The sequence below is a fragment of the Homo sapiens genome, chromosome 18, assembly GCF_000001405.40.
Source record: "Homo sapiens chromosome 18, GRCh38.p14 Primary Assembly".
NCBI classification, from domain to species: domain Eukaryota; kingdom Metazoa; phylum Chordata; class Mammalia; order Primates; family Hominidae; genus Homo; species Homo sapiens.
The window spans coordinates 6256375-6277892 of record NC_000018.10 but is presented as its reverse complement, the minus strand read 5'-3'; the positions used below and the strand labels follow the sequence as shown (position 1 = coordinate 6277892).

General features: G+C 42.4%; 1 protein-coding gene and 1 long non-coding RNA gene across 31 annotated transcripts in view; one reads left to right on the top strand and one right to left on the bottom strand.

The window, feature by feature from the left end:
• The window catches only part of L3MBTL4 (L3MBTL histone methyl-lysine binding protein 4), a 460543-nt gene that overhangs the window by 137367 nt on the left and 301658 nt on the right, over positions 1-21518 (top strand). For 28 of the 30 annotated variants that reach the window (NR_158609.2, XR_007066253.1, XR_935072.2 and 25 more), the window contains exon 5: positions 13855-13946. The exons of the other annotated variants lie outside the window; for them this stretch is intronic. Coding sequence is in view for 24 of the 28 variants with exons in the window: in NM_001365765.2 (NP_001352694.1) it covers positions 13855-13946 (92 nt within the window). In the remaining 4 variants the exon portion in view is untranslated. The remainder of the gene's footprint in view (positions 1-13854; positions 13947-21518) is intronic. 30 annotated transcript variants of the gene reach the window in all.
• Positions 16959-21149, bottom strand: L3MBTL4-AS1 (L3MBTL4 antisense RNA 1). The gene is made up of 3 exons (NR_110765.1): positions 21020-21149; positions 19097-19239; positions 16959-18733 (listed from the first exon to the last, which is right to left on the bottom strand). It is a non-coding gene; the product is annotated as a L3MBTL4 antisense RNA 1 (long non-coding RNA).

The window sequence follows — 21518 nt, the reverse complement described above, 5'->3', positions numbered from 1 at the left end:
GAATCTAATGATAAACTATTGGAATTAATACAAGAATGTTGAAGTGGTGGGATATAAGATAAATACAAAAACTTATTATTACCTTTTCTGTATTTCAACCATCAGCACTTAGAAATTAAAAAAGGAAAAATATTCCATTCATAATAGCAATACAATATAAAATATTTAGAGTAAGTTGAATAAGACATGGGAAGGGCCTTATATGAAGAAAACTGAAAAATCCTACTGAAGGATAGAAATTACTATTTGAATAAATGGAAAGCTATACCACAAACATGACAGCTCTCCCACATTAATATTTATTTCACTTGTAAAACAGAATCTCAACTGGTTTTAATTTCAATTGAATAAAATATTTTTATGCCTAAATCCCCAACGTTCTGGTGGTATAGTAATAGAAACAGGAATCTGTGGAACAGGATAGAGAAACCAGAAGGAGATATGTGAGCATGTAATATACGAGAAAGATGGTAAATCAGCTCAGGAGGACACAGCATAGATTTTTTATTTAATTGGTTATGCTTGCCCAAGTGGCCTTTTTCCGTGTAAAAATAAATTTCAAATAGATTAAAGACTTAGAAAATGTTTTATAAGAATATTTTTTTATTATACTTTAAGTTTTAGGGTACATGTGCACATTGTGCAGGTTAGTTACATATGTATACATGTGCCATGCTGGTGCGCTGCACCCACTAACTCGTCATCTAGCATTAGGTATATCTCCCAATACTATCCCTCCCCCGTCCCCCCACCCCACAACAGTCCCCAGAGTGTGATGTTCCCCTTCCTTATGAGAATATTTTTAAGAGACATAATAAACACTCTAGGGTAAGGAAGAACTCAGTCAAGAGTGGAAACTTGTACTCTAGAAATGAAATTATAGACATGTAAAAATCATTTTTTATTTAATCTGAAAATTTTGTTATTTTACTCTCATTTTTGAAGGATGTTTTCATTGGATGTATAATTCTTACTTGACAGTTTTATGGCTTTCAGTGCTTTAAAGATGCAATTCCGTTCTTTTCTTGTCTTCCTTATTTCTCATAAGTCACCACATCGGAAATTTATAGAGCCGCTAACTGCTAGCATTTCCTATTTCTTTTCTTTGTCTTTATTTTTCTTCTTAACACTTACTGTTGTCTGACATGCCATGTATTTTACTTATTTGTCTTGTTTATTGTCTGTCTTCACCCACTAGAATTTATGATGGATACAGGTAGGGTTTTTTTTTTTTTTTTAATGCTTTGTTTTGTGCTGGACTATAAGCTCTGAGCACATAGTAAGCATTCAATTAATATTTTTGGAATGAAAAATGAGGACTGGATGAATACTGTCCTCATGACAATGCTGATTACTCTGTCCACTGTATTCTTAGCCCTTAGCTCATATGTTTGCAATTGGATTTTCCTTGTATGATAGTTATCTAGTTCCTCCACTAAGCTGCAAGCTCTTTAGGGGCAAGAACCATATCTTATCCTTATTTGAGTCATTGTCACCTAACACAGGGTCTGTCTCATAGAAGGTACTGTAAGCCAAAAGGTACTGGAGACAGGTCTCAATCAATTTAAAAATTATTTTGCCAAGGTTAAGGCTGCGCCCTCAGGAGGTCCTGATGACATGGGCCTGAGGTGGTCCAGGCACAGCTTCATTTTATACATTTTAGGGAGACATAAGACATCAGTCAATATATGTAAGATGTACCTTGGCTTGATCTGGAAAGGCGGGACACCTCGAAGCAGGGAGGGAGCTCCTAGGTCATAGGTAGGTAAGAGACAAATGGTTGCATTTCTCTGAGTTTCTAATTAGCCTTTCCAAAGGAAGCAATCAGATACACATTTATCTCAGTGAGCAGAGGGATGACTTTGAGTTCTGTCTGTCCTTTGTCCACGAGGAATTTCCTTGTGGACAAATTGTGAGGGAGGTATGTGGCTTTTTATCTTTGTAGCTATCTTATTTAGGAACAGAGTGGGAAGCAGGTTTGCCCTAAGCAGTTCCCAGCTTGACCTTTCCCTTTGGCTTAGTGATTGTGGGGTCCTGAGTTTTCTTTTCCTTTCACAGTACTTAATAAGTGTTGGCTGAACCAATGAGCACCTCGCTTGGATTTTTTTCCCTTTGTCTTGTCATACATGAATAAAACATTGATGATTTCCCTATTGATGCAATCTCATGATTGAGTATGGCTAAAAAACCTTGATAATTTCCCATTAATGCAATGTCGTGATTGAGTTTGCCACATGTGAAGGTACCATTTTAGTGCATGTTTCCACATGCACACCTGTGAGCCTCGTCCTCATCACAAACTGTCCTCCAGCCTTCTCCTGCTTACCTGCAGGCCTGCCTGCATCAGCACACATTCCCTGTTTTTTCAGTGGAAACGATCCCGAGGCAAACCCTCCCACTTGCCCCTGATGTCACCTCTTTCTCCAGCCTCACATCCCTACTTTTTCCTGCATCTTCAGTCAAGCACTGTAGTCAGCCTCAGGTAAAGGCCACTGATGTCTTTCTAGCTAACTGAATTCAGTTGTCTTTGTTCAGTCCTCATGCTGTTTTACTTTTTAAATCAAATTTGACAGTGAAGTTCTCTACTTGAAAGCATTTCCACCTGCATTCCTCCCGTTTCTCTGGCTGCCCCTTCTCACTATCCTTTATGGTTGTTTTTCCTCCACCCACATCTTAAATGCTGCAGGTCACTAGGCTCCTCCTCTTGGCCCTACCAACCCCATGCTACACACACTCCCTGGGATTTCCTCTGCTTTAGTACCCTGCACACTGATGGGCACTAGATCCATGGTTCTAGCCTTGAACTTTCTCCTGCAATGTCTCTAGAGGGTTCCTCCTAAGTCTCCTTTAGATGCCTTTGGATTTCAAAGATTCAGCGTCTCTGAAAATGTACTAAGCCCCCTCCTCTAGTTTTGTCTTGCATAGTGGCAGGCATAATCATAAATTCACTCTCCTAAGCTAGAAATGTCAGAGTCCTCTTTCTCATGTCATTGATTGTCCAGTTTTTTCACGTCTCATTCAGATGGCTCTCTGCATTCTTTCTGCTCCTGTCAATCCTCACAGCATGGGGAAAGGGAGAGCTATCTCAAATCGAGACCTCGTCATATCATGCCTGCGTGCGCCATGATCTCCTTCCTGATATTTCTATGATCAGTCTTCCTTTCTTATTCTATACCGTGATCCCTAAAATTGCCATCAGTAGTATCTTTTTTAAAAAAATCAAAACATCCACAAAAACAATAGGCAGGGAAGAGGAGAAACAAGTCCAAAACTTACTGTGACATTTCTTTGCTTAAAGCATCCACTGGCTTCACAGTACATATAGACTGAAGACTGAAATTCTAAGCATGGTGTTTAATCAGATGCTTTCTTTTGCAAGGAACAGAAATCACTCAAGCTTGCTCAAGTAATGGGCTGTAGTGCAAAAATGCATGTTTGGGGAGGATGGAGACTCATGGAAATTCAAGAACAGGGACTGTAGTCGGAATTCTGAGGCTATCCTGTCTGTAGGGCCACCTGCAACTGGAAACTGGCCCTCATAGGGAGCAATAGTTCTTAAAGTTAGCTGCATCAGAATCACCTGGAGGGCTTGTGGAAACAGATTGCTGGGCCCTACTCCCAGAGTTTTTGATTCAGCAGAGGCCCACATTTTCACTGATGCTCCCAAATTTTTACTTCTAGCAATTTTCTGGGTGACACTGATGCTGCTGGTTTGGGTATCACACTTTGAGAACCTTAATCTTTAAGGCATGTAACATGGTTTGGGAAACCTTTGATGAGCTCCTTCAGAATTATTTGTTCCTTTCCTTTTCAGGTTTCTTCACATTATAGTAGAACAATGATTCTCAAACTTTAACATGCATTGTAATCACCTGGAAGGATTGTTTTAGTGGATTGCTGGTCCCAATCACAGTTTCTGATTCATTAAATCTGAGGTGTGGTCCCCACATTTGCGTTTCTAACAAGTTTGCAGGGATGACCACACTTTGCACTGGATGAATAAACTGTTGAGTCACCAGATCTTCACTCCGAAGTTCCCTTCTTGATCATACCCTCACACCTCCCAGCTCTTCCCTCTCCTTCAATTCTGTGGAATCTTATAAAAAATCCTGTTTTGTATTTTAGCTTTTCCATTCTTTCTTGTTCTTTGTTGGTTGTCTTCTGACTTCCTTTGCCTCCCAGGCCAGTTGGGACTCTTCAGGCATTTTATCTCACATTCTCATGGCTTAGAGCCTCTCAGCCACTTGGCCATCTCCTCTTCAGCCCCCAGCTGTCCGCAAATGTAACCGCCTGCTCCCACTTCCGACTGTCATGAGCTGTTGGAGAAAGTCCCCTGGTGCTGGTCGCCTCCTCTGTAGAACCACCAGTTTAATGCAGTGGGGCTGTCAGAACTGTTCTGTATTCCTTATATTCAGTCCTAGTTGAATTTGCACAACTCTCCCTTTCCCCGTGCTCCTGAAGGCACCGCTCTGTAGAACCACCAGTTTAATGCAGTGGGGCTGTCAGAACTGTTCTGTATTCCTTATATTCAGTCCTAGTTGAATTTGCACAACTCTCCCTTTCCCCGTGCTCCTGAAGGCACCGCTCTGTAGAACCACCAGTTTAATGCAGTGGGGCTGTCAGAACTGTTCTGTATTCCTTATATTCAGTCCTAGTTGAATTTGCACAACTCTCCCTTTCCCCGTGCTCCTGAAGGCACCGCTCTGTAGAACCACCAGTTTAATGCAGTGGGGCTGTCAGAACTGTTCTGTATTCCTTATATTCAGTCCTAGTTGAATTTGCACAACTCTCCCTTTCCCCGTGCTCCTGAAGGCACCGCTCTGTAGAACCACCAGTTTAATGCAGTGGGGCTGTCAGAACTGTTCTGTATTCCTTATATTCAGTCCTAGTTGAATTTGCACAACTCTCCCTTTCCCCGTGCTCCTGAAGGCACCGCTCTGTAGAACCACCAGTTTAATGCAGTGGGGCTGTCAGAACTCTTCTGTATTCCTTATATTCAGTCCTAGTTGAATCTGCACAACTCCCCCTTTCCCCATGCTCCTGAAGGCACCACTCTGTAGAACCACCAGTTTAATGCAGTGGGGCTGTCAGAACTGTTCTGTATTCCTTATATTCAGTCCTAGTTGAATTTGCACAACTCTCCCTTTCCCCGTGCTCCTGAAGGCACCGCTCTGTAGAACCACCAGTTTAATGCAGTGGGGCTGTCAGAACTGTTCTGTATTCCTTATATTCAGTCCTAGTTGAATTTGCACAACTCCCCCTTTCCCCGTGCTCCTGAAGGCGCCGCTCTGTAGAACCACCAGTTTAATGCAGTGGGGCTGTCAGAACTCTTCTGTGTTCCTTATATTCAGTCCTAGTTGAATCTGCACAACTCCCCCTTTCCCCGTGCTCCTGAAGGCGCCGCTCTGTAGAACCACCAGTTTAATGCAGTGGGGCTGTCAGAACTGTTCTGTGTTCCTTATATTCAGTCCTAGTTGAATCTGCACAACTCCCCCTTTCCCCGTGCTCCTGAAGGCGTCGCTGTGACCTTTACTCTTAGCAGACGCCATCCTACCTCATGAAGGAGGTGAGGGTATTTGGTAGGGTGCCCTCCCATCTTCTTCCCTAGCAGCCTAAAACTCCTCTGCTTTTAACCTCATTCACCACCCGCCTTTTTATCTCAGGGTCCTCCCCCTACCTGTGTTCCCAATGCTACCTGTCTGTTCTGCTTCTCTCTCCCGTCGATTATCCCTCTTTTCTGAGAGGCTTCTTTTTTCCTCTCTCTCTGGGTGCATTTCCCTCAACGGAAGAACTGAGACGTCCCGTCTCCTGATACGCTTAACAGCAACAGTCAACGAAGACTTCCTTTCTCTTTTTCCCCGTCAAGAGCTTATGTCATCTGCCTCCCAGTTCATTTGCAAACTTCTCCAGGTGTTCCTTTCACGCTTTGACCTCTGCAGTCTGACTTTTGATCTCATCGCTCTGCTGAAATCTCTGCCTCTGCGGTCCCGGTGACACCCTGGCTGTCAGATCCAGCAGTGTCTCCCATCTGCATCTTACTTGGGCGAGCAGAGCCTTTAACGCTGCTGATCTCCCTGCCCCGTGAAAACCCTCTCCCAGGAGCCCCCAGGTCTCTGTCGCCTCCTTCCAACGCTGCCTCCCTCGTGCGCCTCCCCGACCTCACTCAGGTGCGAGGAAGCGCCTCCCCTGACCTCGGCTCTTCTTCCTCGGTGTCATCCCCATGGCTGCCTCTGTTTGAAGAGCTTTGCATTGCCTTTGCTAAGAATGTGTGTTTTTTACAGATTATTACGTACACTTATCGTAGATTATTCCGGATACCAAAAGTTTAACGTCTCGGAAAATGACTCACACTTTCCTCCGCGTTCTGCGCTGGTCCCTCCACCTTTTCGGCCCTGCCTGGTGCCCGGCAGCTTCGGGACTATTTTGCCTTCTCCCTTTGCCGCCCCACCCTGTGCCTGTTGATCGAATTTCTGCATTTTCTCTCAATTTCCTTTCTACCTTTCTTTTTTATTGTAAATTGACAACTTATAAATTGTGTTACTTTAGTGTGTACAAAGTGATACTATAATTTATAAATACAATGTGGAATAATTAAATAAAACTAGTTAACGCGCCATCACCTCAAATACTTAACATGTTTTTGCAGAGAGGACATTTGAAATTTACTTTCTTAGCAGTTTTGAAATGTACAATACTCTATTAACCACATTCACCATGGTGTGCAATAGAACTGAAAACCAAACAAAAACAAAAACAAACGAAAAACAAAACCAACCCCAAACCACTGCTGCGGTCTAACAGAGACTTTGTACCCTTCGACATTCATTTCACCGTTCCCCTCATGCCCCGCGGGCTCTGTAACCACAGAGGGCACTGCATGCCCCCCTTTGTTTAGGTCACACCCACACTGTCACTTGTTTGGACTATTGTGTTGCCATTCTCAGTCTCCACTGCCTGTCTCTCCATCCTTTTCATCCTTACCTAGTGCTGATTCATAGAGGAAGTTCTGCTGATATCACCTACCACTCGAAAGTCTCCAAGTGGTTCTCTAAACCATAAGATTAAAGACCAAACCTGCTAGGCCAACTTTGAGGAAGCTGCATGGTCTCACGTTTGCCCCTCCAGCCCCTGCAGTGCAGCCTACTGCTGAGTGGATCCCTGCAAACTTTGTGCTGAACCCTTCCCAGACTCTGGCATTTGCAGAAGCAGCTCTTTCTTTCCACTCTCCTGGCTTTGCCCATGCTGCTTCTCCCTGGATTGCTTGCCAAATTTCTCTTCGTCTCAAAGAGAATTGTCCTCCGGGGAGCTTTCTGTGTTCAGAGTAAATCCTCCTTCATTTTGATTCCAGACACATTGTTTGGGTTTCTTAACTGTGCATATTAGCACTTGTGTCTGCCTGTTTATTCGTCGAAACACTGAGTCCCACCATATGTCAGGTTATGGGTGATGTTTATCTGTCTACACGCCTGCCTCCCCAACTCGAGTAAATGCGGTGTGAGGGAGAAGTTGGATTCTCTCAGTACCTGCTTTGCCTGGGGAGACGAGCACTACATGAATTTAAATTCGGTAGTACTGAAATGAAAAGCAGCCTGACTGCGCACGTGAAAAATGTAGGGAGAGCATGGAAAGGGTCCCGTCACAGTGACCTGGCAGAGGGACTAAAATGTGAGTCTGCAGCTGTGGCCTAAGCGGGGTATTGTTCAGCAGTGATCAGTTGTTCAGATTGGGAAGATCGTATCATTTCCAGTTGGTACCACAAAAGAAGGCGCTATTTATAACAGTGTGGTTGGTTGCCACTGACAGTTGTTTCTCACATATTCTAAGGCATTTCCTGATGAAGTCACGTGCAGCATAACTTTTGAAATGAAATGGAAATATCACCATGAAGGGTTGTGTTTATGGCTAATGGAATTGGGAAAGGGCCACTCTTAAGATATACCTGGTTGTATCCTTAAGAATGACAGTTGATTCATTCTTTACCCCTGCCATTTGCATTTTGGGTTCATAAAATTACTGATAAGTACTGTGCAGTTTCCTAGAACTGGATGTTCTTGTGGCCAAATCTGTCAGCCTTTGTCTTGCTTCACGAATCTCATTGCCTTAACACATGGTCTTCGTTTTTTTCTTATGATTTGTATTTGTATATAAACATGTGCAGTTCTAAAGACAATGTTCATATAAACTGCGCTTAATTCATATTTAAAAAGTAATGTGTGATCATAACGATAATTTGACTTCTATTGTTGGATATTTAGATATTTTTCCAACTTTGTACTGTTGTAAAGGCTGAATTTATTCCTTTTGCATTGTTAGAATAAAATATTAAAGTTGGGATGAATAGATCAGTGAATTGTAACATCTTAATTTTTGGCTATAAATATATATTGTCGACATGACTTTCAAAAGTTTTTTGTTTGTTTTTTTTGTTTGTTTTTTGAGGCAGAGTCTCGCTCCGTCACCCAAGCTGGAGTGTAGTGGTGCGATCTTGGCTCACTGTACACTCTCCTTCCCGGGTTCACGCCATTCTCCTGCCTCAGCCTCCCGAGTAGCTGGAACTACAGGCACCCACCACCATTCCTGGCTAATTTTTTGTATTTTTAGTAGAGATGGGGTTTCACCATGTTAGGATGGTCTCGATCTCCTGACCTCGTGATCCGCCCGCCTCAGCCTCCCAAGTGCTGGGATTACAGGCGTGAGCCACCGCGCCTGGCAACTTTCAAAAGTTTTAATCAAATTTACAAAGCCACCATCCATGAGCGACCTTATTCATTTTCCTGCAAACTTAATTTTATGGTGCTTTTAAACTTAAAAGTTACTAATTAAATTGGAATTTCTGTTCCATTTTGACTGTGTGTGCTAGAGTGAGTCAGCGGTGTCTAGTGGGGGTGCCCGAGCTAGGGATTTTGTTTACATACAGAGTTTTCCAAATGTGTGAACTGTGTGATCTCCATGAGCTTCAGCTTTTCAGAACAATAAAATAGGGCTATTAATCTAATATTCAATATTGTAAATAACAAGTGAATATGTATACATTCACACATATGTGCTCACACACACACACACGTATACACATACACATATCCCAATCAGTACCTGGTATACATATGTATATATTAAGTGACAGGTAATATTTAATCAAATATATTTTGTTTATTATATAATGTTTGGCAGAAGGTTAATAATTGGAACATTTTGCTATAGCCAATGAATATAGTGAGAAGAAATGGAATTTAGGGTTTATGAAGTTGGTTTATGGAATATCTAATATTCCATAAAATGAGTGCCATATCTGTAGTATGTCTGAGAAAACAGCAGAAAAAATAAATTTAGTGACTGAAGCAGTGTTGTCTCATAGCTGGTTCCTTCTGTCCAGGAAACTGAGAAATGAATTGGTCAAAATAGACACATTTGAATTCATGTTTAAGGCCCAGAGTGCTATTCTGCCTGTCTTCCTTTCCTTTAATTCATTAAACAATTTTTTTTTTGAGACAGAGTTTTGTTCTTATTGCCCAGGCTGGAGTGCAATGGCGCCATCTCGGCTCATTGCAATCTCTGCCTCCCGGGTTCAAGCAATTCTCCTGTCTCAGCCTCCTGAGTAGCTGGGATTACAGTCTCCTGTCACTATGCCCGGCTAATTTTTGGTATTTTTAGTAGAAGCGGGGTTTCACCGTGTTGGCCAGGCTGGTCTCGAACTCCTGACCTCAGGTGATTCAACCGCCTTGGCCTCCCAAAATGCTGGGATTACAGGTGTGAGCCACCACTCCCGGGCCATTAAACAAATATTTATGGCAAGGCATGATTGTAGCTCCAGAGAAACAATGATGAAAATACCACGACAGTTTCCCCTCCTTTTTAGAAGCTTATATTCTACTTCCAAGTAGAATATGGTTAATTTCAGCTAAAGTGCTTTCTGTGAAAAATAAAACAACATGGTGAGAAACAGAGGTGAGAGAATGCCTTTATAATTCAGTGACCAGGGAGGACCCGTCTACAGGCTCTGAGGTGCAAGCAAACTTGGTATTCCCTCATCTCACTTGCAGGCATGATGTTACTGAGTAATCCTCTTGCTTCACCAAAATATGCAATTCAATGAAAGCTTTTATTGCTTGATATTATGTATTCTTATTTTTGATCAATTTTAAAAGGTTCTTTGGTACATATGTGATCATAAAAGGAGGCCTTAGATAGTTTACTTTCGGTGAAGTGATAATGCATGACAATTGGAAATATGACTAAATGGAGAAATTACATGCAATCTTTTAAAGAACACAGCTGTTGTAGAAAATGAGATATCTGTATTTGCTTTAGAGCCAACACTGCTGTAATGTTTTTTGTAAAGCACATAACTGTAATGCAGCAAAATGCTTGTGTGGAAATTGGGATGTTGAATAGTCTTCCTGGAGCATCTTCAGGGTTTGTCAGATTGCTTTCTCTCTCTGGCAAAATAAAACATCTCGTGGCAGAAACAGTGCAAACCTTTAGGCGTTCTAATGGGCCAATGGACTGTGAGCTCCTTGATGGAAATCACACCATGACGTCTCAGTATTTCCAAACAATACAAGAAAATCCATCGATGACAATTCTGGTGTCTTATTTGATGATTAAAATGCTTTAAAAATTTCTCATACATTAGTAAGTGTATCTAGCAATAACGAGTTAGTGTTGTGACAGATAGTGAATATTAATGTCCATGCTTTTTTGAGTCTAATTTTTAGCTATAAATTGATATGATGTTTTTCTTTATTAGCTATGTTTAAATTACTTCCCTTTGTTGTCAATAACATATATGGGTAGCAAAAGAAATAAAGTATATATGATTTATTTTTCATCTACTAGACAGCAGATTTTACTCACTTTAGTGGAAATGGATAAAATTTCCACGTAACATTTTCCTGCACACTTGTCACATTAACAGGGGCTCAGAAATTATTATTATTACTATTATTATTATTATTATTTTATTTTTTTCTGAGACGGAGTTTCACTCTGTCGCCCAGGCTGGAGTGCAATGGCACGATCTTCACTCACTGCAACCTCTGCCTCCCAGGTTCAAGCAATTCTCCTGCCTCAGCCTCCCAAGTAGCTGGGATTATAGGCATGCACCATTATACCTGGCTAATTTTGTATTTTTAGGAGAGATGGGGTTTCACCATGTTGACCAGGCTGGTCTCGAACTCCTGATCTCCGGTGATTCACCTGCCTCAGCTTCCCAAGTGCTGGGATTACAGGTGTAAGCCACTGCACCTGGCCAGAAATTTTTTAACGACAAAAAGTTTACGTGAATTATTCCTGCCCAATTGATGGATTTTGTGTTTGTTATTCAGTCACATTGTTGTATTGTCTCGAGAGGTTTCAAATGTTCTAGTGAGAGGTGCATCTTACCTCCTGTCATCTCTGGTGCTGATGCAGCACTGACCTTTTACCATCTGCATCTTCTTCTGGAACATTCACAGCAAAGATAGATGCTAAAATTAGGACTCAGCGTTTTCTGATGAGTATTCTCCAAGGATGTGTGTGTGTATAGCTAAGTAGTAATACTTGCAGATAATTTTTAAAATATAGATTGTGTTAAATAAAGAAAGAATATTTATGTCAATCTTGCCATCCACATGTAGCCACTGTTAGTATTCTGCTGTTTCTTTCCAATTGCTTTTCTACGTGAATGTGTTTGGTTGTGTGGACATACATATGCCTGTTGCTTAGCACATAGAAGTTGCTGTATAAATATGTGAATAAATGAATGTCTTAATATATGGAATAACTTGTATAATATATATGTATGTATGTTTTTTTATTTTTAAATGAGAAATAATTGTATATATTTATGGGGTAAAATGTAATTTTTGAAATATGCTTGTGGAATGATTATATCAAGTGAATTAACATATCCGTCACCTCACATACTTATGTTTTTTGTCATGAGAATATTTAAAATCTATTCTTTTTAGCAGTTTTGAGGTATATAACATTATTCACTATAGTCAGCATGCTGTGGAACATATCTCTAAAGCTTATGCCTGCTGTCTAACTGGAACGTTGTATCCTTTGGGCAACATCTCCCCATTCCCGATTCCTTTGTCATCCAGCCTCTGGTAACCACCTTTCTAAGCACTGCTTCAATGAGTTTGACTTTTTTTTATTGCATGTCTATAAGATCATGCAGTATTTATTTTTCTGTGCCTAACTTATTTCACTGTGCCTAACTTATTTCACTTAGCATAAGTAAGGACACAAAACAGCAGATATGATCTAAATAGACACCGTTTTGTGTCTTTACTTAGTTTTTTTACTTAACCCAGATAATTCTCAAAATATATTAAATACATAAAGCATAAAAATATAGTTTTCGATAACCTCAGAATCATATATGTATGTATATACAATAGTTTCTTTAACCTCCTTCCCATATTAATACTACTTTGCATTTTGCTGTTATTTTGTGATGTACATTTTTACCATCAACTTTTATCAGTGCTTAACTACTCTCTTAGTATGTAATCCTAGAGAAGAAGTACTGGGGAGTAGAATGTAAACCTGAGATAACTATTAATCCTTTTTGCCAGCTTTTGTTATTCAAAAATGATAATTTTGTTGAATTACAAAGATTAGCTATTCATCTAGAAAATTTGGAAAGCAGAAAAAGAAAGCACAAAGAAAATTGGGAAGGAATTATTTATAATTCTGGCACTTAAGATGATTTCATTTGAATGTTTTTGATTTATGTAAGTTTAGTCTTATTTAATCTATTACACATTTACCAAAAATGATCATTTAATCTATTACACATTTACCAAAAATGATCAATTTGTTTCCTTAACTGCTTCTTTTTCCTACTTAGTAGTATATCATTACATAGTCCTTCTCTGCCTTTAGACAGTTGTCTACAAAGCAATTTACTGGCTGGTTTTGAAAGGGCATGTCCATGTAACGCGTTTAATTACCTCCTCCTTTGTGGACCTTTACTTTGTTTCCAGTGTTTAATTTGATGTGGGATTCTAGGAAAAAAACTCTTGTGTTTTGCCCCTTGGGCGTGTCTACTGCGATTGCATTAAGACAAATTCCTAGGAGAATTGCTGGTTCGACTTTTAGGAACGATTTTTTTTTCCCCAAGATGAGATTTCGCTCTTGTGGCCCAGGCTGGAGTGCAGTAGTGCGATCTCGGCTCACTGCAACCTCCACCTCCTGGGTTCAAGCAATTCTCCTGCTTCAGCTTTCCAAGTAGCTGGGATTACAGGCACCCGCCACGATGCCCAGCTAATTTTTGTATTTTTAGTAGAGACGGGGTTTCACCATATTGGCCAGGCGGGTCTCAAACTCTTGACCTCAGGTGATCCACCTGCCTTGGCCTCCCGAAGTGCTGGGATTACAGGCGTGAGTCACCACGCCAGGCCAGGAACGATTTTTAAGCTTTGACAAATACTGCCACATTAGCTTTCCACAGGTTGTGCCAATTGACATTCACAGCAAAAAGAAGTATGAAAGTGGAAGGAGATTATAAAAAACTTTAGACTATTAACTGTAAAATTAGCTAAATCACTTTCCAGAAAGCCTGTGCCTGTTCACCCTCTTAGAGAGGAGCAAGATGGTACCTAACTTGAGAGTTCACTAGGCATTTTCTAGAGGGTGAGACATATTCATTAGCCTGGTCCGAAACAGGAAGAGCTGAATATGGAGTGGTTAGGTGATTTTACTAAATGTTCATATGAATTGAGAGAGAAGACTCTTCTTAGTTGCTGGGTCTTTCAACTACCAATTTAACTAATTAGCCTGCTTCTTGAGTTTATTGTCAAGTAAGTTTTATTATTTTCCTGTCACTAATCATTTTGAGAAAAGTCATTGTGTTTTCTCTTCCAGTCCCTTCAGCGGCTGCACAGGGAGCATGGTCTTGGGAGTGGTACTTGAAAGAACAGAAGGCTGTCGCAGCACCTGTTGAGCTGTTTTCCAAGGTCAGCCACTGAAGGACTTATATTTTTGCAAGGAAGCAACACTTAAGAGGTTTAGTTTAAATGAAATGACTTTCCTAGATAGCCCATCAACTTATTTGAATTATTTGTAGGCTCTGCTGGAAAATGACCCCACAAACCTAATCAGAGCTTTAGTGTTTCAGAGTGGGCTGGAGCCCGGCGCCGCCACCTGCCAGCTCTGTGACCTTGGGCAAGTCATTCAGTTCAGTTTCCTCATCCATGAGGTAGGAAAGGTTCCCTACCTTTCTCCTTGGGTGGTTGGAGGACTAAATCAGTTGTACCCGTAAAGGATATAGGATGCAATGTGCATACTATAAATGCTCAAGAAAGTGTTAGGTTTTACTTCTATTAGCCAGTATTACCTGCAGTTAGAGGGATCTGTTTGGATGTGTTTCTAAGAGTGGTGAGTCAAGCAAGATGTTAGAGAAGACATTGAAACCCCTGAATCCTGGCATACATGACTAGAAAGGTGAACAGAGCAGCTGGTGTAGACTTCCTTGACCATCTGGGCCTTACAGGGGATCATCTTTACCCAAGACACCAAATCTTCTGATAGTCTTTTTGTTCTTCTTGGTCTGAGTTTTAGATGTTTTGGGGAAATTTATGTGCATCAGATTTACCTCGTTACTTTACTTTTTTTTTTCTTTTTTTTTTTTTTTGTGAGACGGAGTCTGGCTCTATCGCCAGGCTGGAGTGTAGTGGCATGATCTTGGCTCGTGGCAACCTCCAACTCCCTGGTTCAAGCGATTCTCCTGCCTCAGCATCTGAGAAGCTGGGATTACAGATGCGTGCCACCATGCCCAGCTAATTTTTGTATTAGTAGAGACAGGGTTTTGCTGTGTTGGCCAGGGTGGTCTCCATCTCCTGACCTCATGATCCGCCTGCCTCGGCCTCCCAAAGTGCCGGGGATTACAGGCGTAAGCCGCCGTGCCCAGCCCATTTCTTTACAGCAGGAAACTACAACTTTTTATTTGGTTTACTTTTCATGACATCTGTTGAGTTACATCTAGTAACTCATGTTAGCATGTGAAAGGGCCAGCATTTGTAATCCTGGATATGGCAGTGGGACAGGGAAGAAGAGGTATAGCGAAGAAGAAAAGAAAGGGAAACCAAATGCAGACCCCTCGTGTTCAAGAAATGATGCATGTCCTTTTGTTGTCTAGGTGGTATGCTTCACTAACAAACAGTATGAAGGTCATACCATGGAAAATGAGACCATCTAGAGCAGCATTCTTAACCCAGCCTTTGCACCATCTACTTTTGTGAGCTTTGGAGAGCACAGCGTGGGTCTTCCTGAGACCTACTAAATCAGACCCTCAGGGGCTGGGCCTGGAAATGTGTAGCTTGAGAACCTCCTGCATTCTTTGTGCAGGTTTGAGGCTGACTACCATAGAAGGTTTAAGAACTGTACAGTTTCTGTCTAGGAGTCAGGTCCATGTTTCCCCACATTGCTTTCACCTGATAAGACTTAGGGGGTTTCTTCCATCAAAAGGTGCAAGCTCAGTAAGGTAAGGGATTTTCCTACATGTATCCCGGCAGTGCCTGCTGTGTTGAGTGTGCTCAGATGATCAGTCGCTGTTGAGTGACTTCTAGGGAAACTCTTCTCGCTTCTGAGTGTAAAGATCTTTGAAGGTGGTTGGCTGGGACCAGGGCAGTTCAGTGTAGCTCACAGTCACCTTGCCCTTTCCCCGCTGCGCCTTCCTGCCCTTGCCACAGAGCCACTGCAGGTTGGGAGGGGAGAACAGAGTGGGCCAAAACAGGAGCTGCCTGAGAACTATCAGGCACTGTGACACCCAAGGGCAGAGGTAGCGGGGTCAAGGTCCAGGATTTGAGGTTGAGCCAAAGAACATAGGTGAGGTTTGCGCCCCGATGGCTGCTGTGGCTTAGGAGTCACACCTGTGCCGTGTCCTCAGATCAGGGTCCCAGGGCAAGGGTCCTCTCTTACACCCCACCCCCCCACTCTGCCGCCAGAATTAAATCAGATGTTTGGGTGTTAAGGGTGAAGTGTGGACTAATTTTCAGAGCAAGGAAAGTTTTGGCTGATGGCAGCCAAGTGCTAGATTCCCTGTCCAGCTCCTGTGTTGCCCCACATCTCAGCCCGTCAGGGTATTAACATTATTCTAGAGCTTCTTCTCTGAGATCCTTTAAGCCCCATCAGCCAGAGCAAGAACACCTGCAGGATTGAGAATTTCTCCTTCAGATTTTCCCTTATGACCTGGTGTTAACTAAAAAAAGACCAAAAGAACACACGTGGGATTTCTGTTCCTGAAATAAATCCTCATGATGGTGTTGGGAATGGTGTGATCATAGGCTCTGGGTCATGTAGCTTTCCCCCTTGACTTTATAGAGGGATGACAAAAGAGGTGCTGGAAGGCAGTAAGTGGGAGGGGCACAACGTTGTGGGACATACAGACAGGAGTGGGCCCCCTTGGCAGGGTGGAGAGAGTTGGAGAGACTCTTTGAAGGAGGCGGGTGGTGAGCAGGTGATGCACCCTTTGATGATTCTTTGGCTAAGGACTTTCTCAAGCTTTTGAACTCTAATATTTGTCATCTCTGAAAGTAACAGCAAAGTGTTAGTGTGTGAGAAAACAGACATGTTTGACATGTTGGACTGCCTTTCTCTCCAGTCATAATCTAACACTCAAGCTGCCCACGTGTTTAAGACTCTGTGTGTGCAAAGTGCCATGTAAGACTGGCCAAAACACTAAAGAACGTATGACATGGTGTCTTAGGATCTTGTGGGCTAGTTGGGATATGATATGCCCATAATAACACAGCAACAATCTGAGGTAGAATGTTAATTGCCCACAAGTAATGAATTTATGAGGAATTCCATGTGTGAGATGAGACCTCATTCGACCCTGAATGCAGAGAGAATTAAGCTCACCAATTATTCCGTCTGATTTGCCCTAATAACTAAAGAAGATGCTTGTGTTCAAGATCACAGTGTTACTCTAACTTGAATTTGTATTTTCAGATGAAATAAGCATTGTCTATAGTTAAAAATAGGTTTTAATATAATCAAAAAGGCAGATGGTTCATGTCAGCTTTCCAAGAAGGAGCATCAGACTAAACTCAATTTTATATTGACATTGTGTTTTTGACTATTAATGTTCATTTTCATTGTGTAAATATTAGTATAATGTTGTTCAGGTCAGCCAGCTGAGATGGAACGCTTCAGCTTTTGACACCGAAATGTTGAAAATAAAACTTAATTCTATGCTTAGAAAACCCTAAAGATTCTGCCAAAAGGCTCCTGGGACTGATAAATGAATTCAGTAAAGTTTCAGGATACAAAATCAGTGTACAAAAGTCAGTAGCATTTCTATACACCAATAATGTTCAAGCTGAGAGAAAATCAAGAACACAATCCCAATTACAATAGGCACACACAGAGAAAAATATCTAGGAATACATTTAACCAAGAAGGTGAAAGATCTTTTCAAGGAGAACTACAAAACACGGCTAAAAGAAATCAAAGATGACATATAAACAACTGGAAAAACATTCCATGCTCATGGGTGGGAAGAATCAATATCATTAAGGTGGCCATACTCCCCAAAGCAATCTATAGATTAAACATTATTCCTATCAAACTACCAATGTCATTTTTCACAGAACCAAAAAAACTTACTCTAAAATTCACAAGGAACTAAAAAAGAGCCCAAATAGTGAAAGCAATCCTAAGCAAAAATAACAAAGCATCGTATTACCTGACTTCAGACTATACTGCAAGGCTACAGAAACCAAACAGCATGGTACTGGTACAAAAACACATACATAGAACAATGGAACAGAATAAAGAGCCCAGAAATAAAGCTGCACATGTACAGCCATCTTATCTTTGACAAAGCTGACAGAAAAAAAGCAATGGGGAAAGGACTCCCTATTCAATAAATGGTGCTGGGATAGCTGGCTAGCCATATACAGAAGATTAAAACTAGACCCCCTACCTTTCACCATATACAAAAACTAAATCAAGATGAATTAATAATTTAAATGTAAGACCTCAAACTATAAGAGTTCTAAAAGAAAACCTAGGAGACACCATTCTCAGCATTGGTCTTGAGAAAGAATTTATGACTAAATCCTCAAAAGCAATTACAGCAAAAACAAAATTTGACAACTGAGACCTAATTAAACTAAAGGGCTTCTGCACAGCAAAAGAAACCATCAACAGAGTAAAGAGACAACCTACAGAATGGGAGAAAATATTCACAAACTATGCAGATGACAAAGATCTAATATATCCAGAATCTATAAGGAACTAGATTCAATAAGCAAAAACCAATTAACCCATTAAAAATGGGCAAAAGAAGAATGAAGGAGATGGAGAAGGAGAAAGGAGAAGAAAAAAGAAGAAAAAGTAAAAAATAAAAAATGGGCAAAAGACATGAACAGACACTTCTCAAAAGAAGACATACAAGTGGCCAACAAACATAAAAAAATGCTCAACATCACTAATCATCAGAGAAATGCAAATTAAAACCACAACGAGATACCATCTCACACAAGCCAGAATGCTTATTATTATAAAGTCAAAAAACAACAGATACTTGCAAGGCTGCAGAGAAAGAAAGGCACATGGAGTTGCATGTTCATTGCAGCACTATTCACTATAGCAAAGACATTGAATTGACCTAGGTGCCCATCAATGGTGTCATCCTCTTTCCATTGTTGTTCCTGTTCTGTTTCTGACCCTGGTCTGAGTGACTTCTCATGGGTTGTCTCTCTCCCAAATTATTCTTCTGTGGCCTTTGCAGTCCTGCCTGTGGTAAAACAAATTATGCAATTTTCCCAAGAGCTCAACACGTCATTCCCTCCTCCCTGTGGCCAGGTGCACACCTGCTTCCCCCCGGGCACTCTGCCTCCTGGGTGCCCCTGTGCCACGTCCACTTCTCCCTCTGGGTGCAGGCAGGCCTAGCCTACTCCAGCTCCCAACCACTCCTTTCTTACCCTATTTCTACTTGCATGCCCAACCCTCCCTTCTTGGTGATTTATGCAGTCGTAACACTGCTATTTCCACTCTTGCTGCCTCAATAGGGTGTGTGTGCATGTGTGTCTGCTCACACTGTTCACCTCCCTCTGCTCTCTCCCCTCCTCCACCCTCTCCCACCCAGTCCCGTTCTCACCCTGGGACATTTCTTTGCCCATGTGACAGTCCATCCACCTCCTAAGACCTTGGGTGCCTCCATGCCAGGAACCGGTGCCCCCTTTTCAGTTCAACCCATCTGCCTTCGTGACCACACTGGCATAAGTCACAGTTGAACCTCCTCTGCAATGGTAAACTTTAATCTCACCATCTGATTTTGTCCACTGTCTTTCCAGACTTTTCTGTCCCTTATTCTTACAGCACCACTTTTTCTTTTAAGACTTGTAGTTCCTTTGTTGTCTCCCTCCTGGCTTCACATTTTCCCTGGCCAGCTCAGCCCAGTTCCCTCATGTCAGCCATTCTCTTGCCAGGATCTTCAGTCCGTTGCCTCCCTGCTATCCTCTCCCCATCCATGCCCACCGCAATCCCAGCTCCTGACTAATGCGTATTCACTGCCTACCTTCTCTACCCCAGGTGCCAAGCACTGCTGAGTAGGAACCATGAGGCCTTGCAGATAGCTGTGGCCCTGCAGATGCACAGCCTCAGCGTGCAGGCATTGTCTGGCCGTCCTTCTGTGTTGTTAGTCTGGGCTCTCCCTGCTCCCTAGGAAAGCAGGTCTATGCTGGCAGGCATCTTTCCTCCCACCTGAAGCTTTCAGTCCCTTACTGCATGTGGTGAGACCTTCCACTGCCCCCTGCAGACCATCACTCAGCACACCTCTTCCTGCCTCTTTCCCCTGTGGTCCTGGAAGAAGTGTCCCTTCTCTCCAGCCTCCTGCACCTGTGCTCTGCATCCTTTCCATTCCTGCCTTTCTAGAGATCTTACTCCATCAGTTATCTCAGGGCCTGCCTGTAAGCTGACGTTTCTTCTCTTTTGAACATTTCCTTTTAGAGCCCGGCGATGTGGCTCATGCCTCTAATCCCAGCACTTTGGGAGGCCGAGGTGGGTGGATCACCTGAGGTTGGGAGTTAGAGACCAGCCTGACCAACATGGAGAAACCCCGTCTCTACTAAAAATACAAAATTAGCTGGGTGTAGTGGTGCATGCCTGTAATCCCAGCTGCTCCGGAGGCTGAGGCAGGAGAATCGCTTGAACCCGGGAAGCGGAGGTTGCGGTGAGCCAAGATTGCGCCATTGCACTCCAGCCTGGGCAACAAGAGCGAAACTCCATTTAAAAAAAAAAAAAAAAAAAGAAAAAGAAAAAGAAAAAGAAAAAAGAAAAGAACATTTCCTTTTAGAATGCAAATATGCTTAAGTCTGTTCCATCTTTATGAAAAAATAATGTCCCTTGGTTCTGCATTTTCCTCCCTAACTCATCTCCTTAGTCCAGACTGGCTTCTTGAAATTTTAGACTGCATTTTCTCTTTCTGGATTTTTCCAACCTTCTTTCCCACCTCCAGCCTCCGCAACCTGACCTTTGGGTCAGTTCATCCAGCTCCTTAACTGCCTTAACCTGTGCCATTCTGTGTGGTTACGTGTGGGTGTATTTTGTCTCTCGGTGAAATTGTGATCTCCTGGAAGCCTGACTTGGGTTTCTTTCTTCTTGTTTTAGTTCCTCTCTGCCCTCTGGTTCCCGGGAGAGGTTCGTATTGTTTGCTGTGCTTTTACCTGCGCTGCCTCAGTAAGCCCTCCACTGCTTCCCCTCACTGTGTGGAGGCACCTCCCTGACTCTTAGTTGATTTAACTGAAAACAGCAGATAATATCACCTACTTCTCAGGGATTTTCCTGAAGAATTCCACATCGTGTATATCAAGTGTCCAGCGTACTACAGTGCCTGGCATATAGATGACTTGCTTAAATACAAGCGGTTCTCAAAATCACTCTTTCTCTCGTCCCTTGCTTTTCCCACTGCCTTTTCTCAGCCCCTCTTGGTAGCCCTGTGTGCTCTGACCACCGACCCCCTGTTTATTCAGAACACTAGCCCAGCCTGGCCTCGGCAGACCTTGTCCTTGCCACAACTTGCCTTGGTTCGACCACAGTCCTCTATCCTTCCAGCCTGGCCTGCCCACGGCGGGTGTTCCTGTCTTAGTCTCCCGATCTGCACTTAAGAGTGGGTGCCCAGCGGGAAACCCACTGTCCTTGGAGCAGAATCCTTAGTGGGTCACGTTGTTCCCAGCCTCCTCTCTCCTGCCTGATGACTCACCAACTTTATTCACGATGAAAACAGAAGTGGTTCCTCATTTCATCCCCTTTCTCTCTAAACAAGGCACAATCGTGGCGTTCCCACCTCCCCCCACTTTCTTGTCCTGCTCTACCTCCTTCCCCTCTTCATAGCTATTATTATAATCTAGTATGATTTCAGAAAGAAAGACTTTATGTCCTGAAAAGGAAATTCCAGCCTTCTGCAGGATGATAAGGTTGCATTTATTTTTGGGAGGGGCTGGGGGTTGTTGGAGGAACAGAGGCACCTTCCTGGTTTAACCTCCTAATTGTCCTAGAAACAAGACAGCCTTATTTGAACA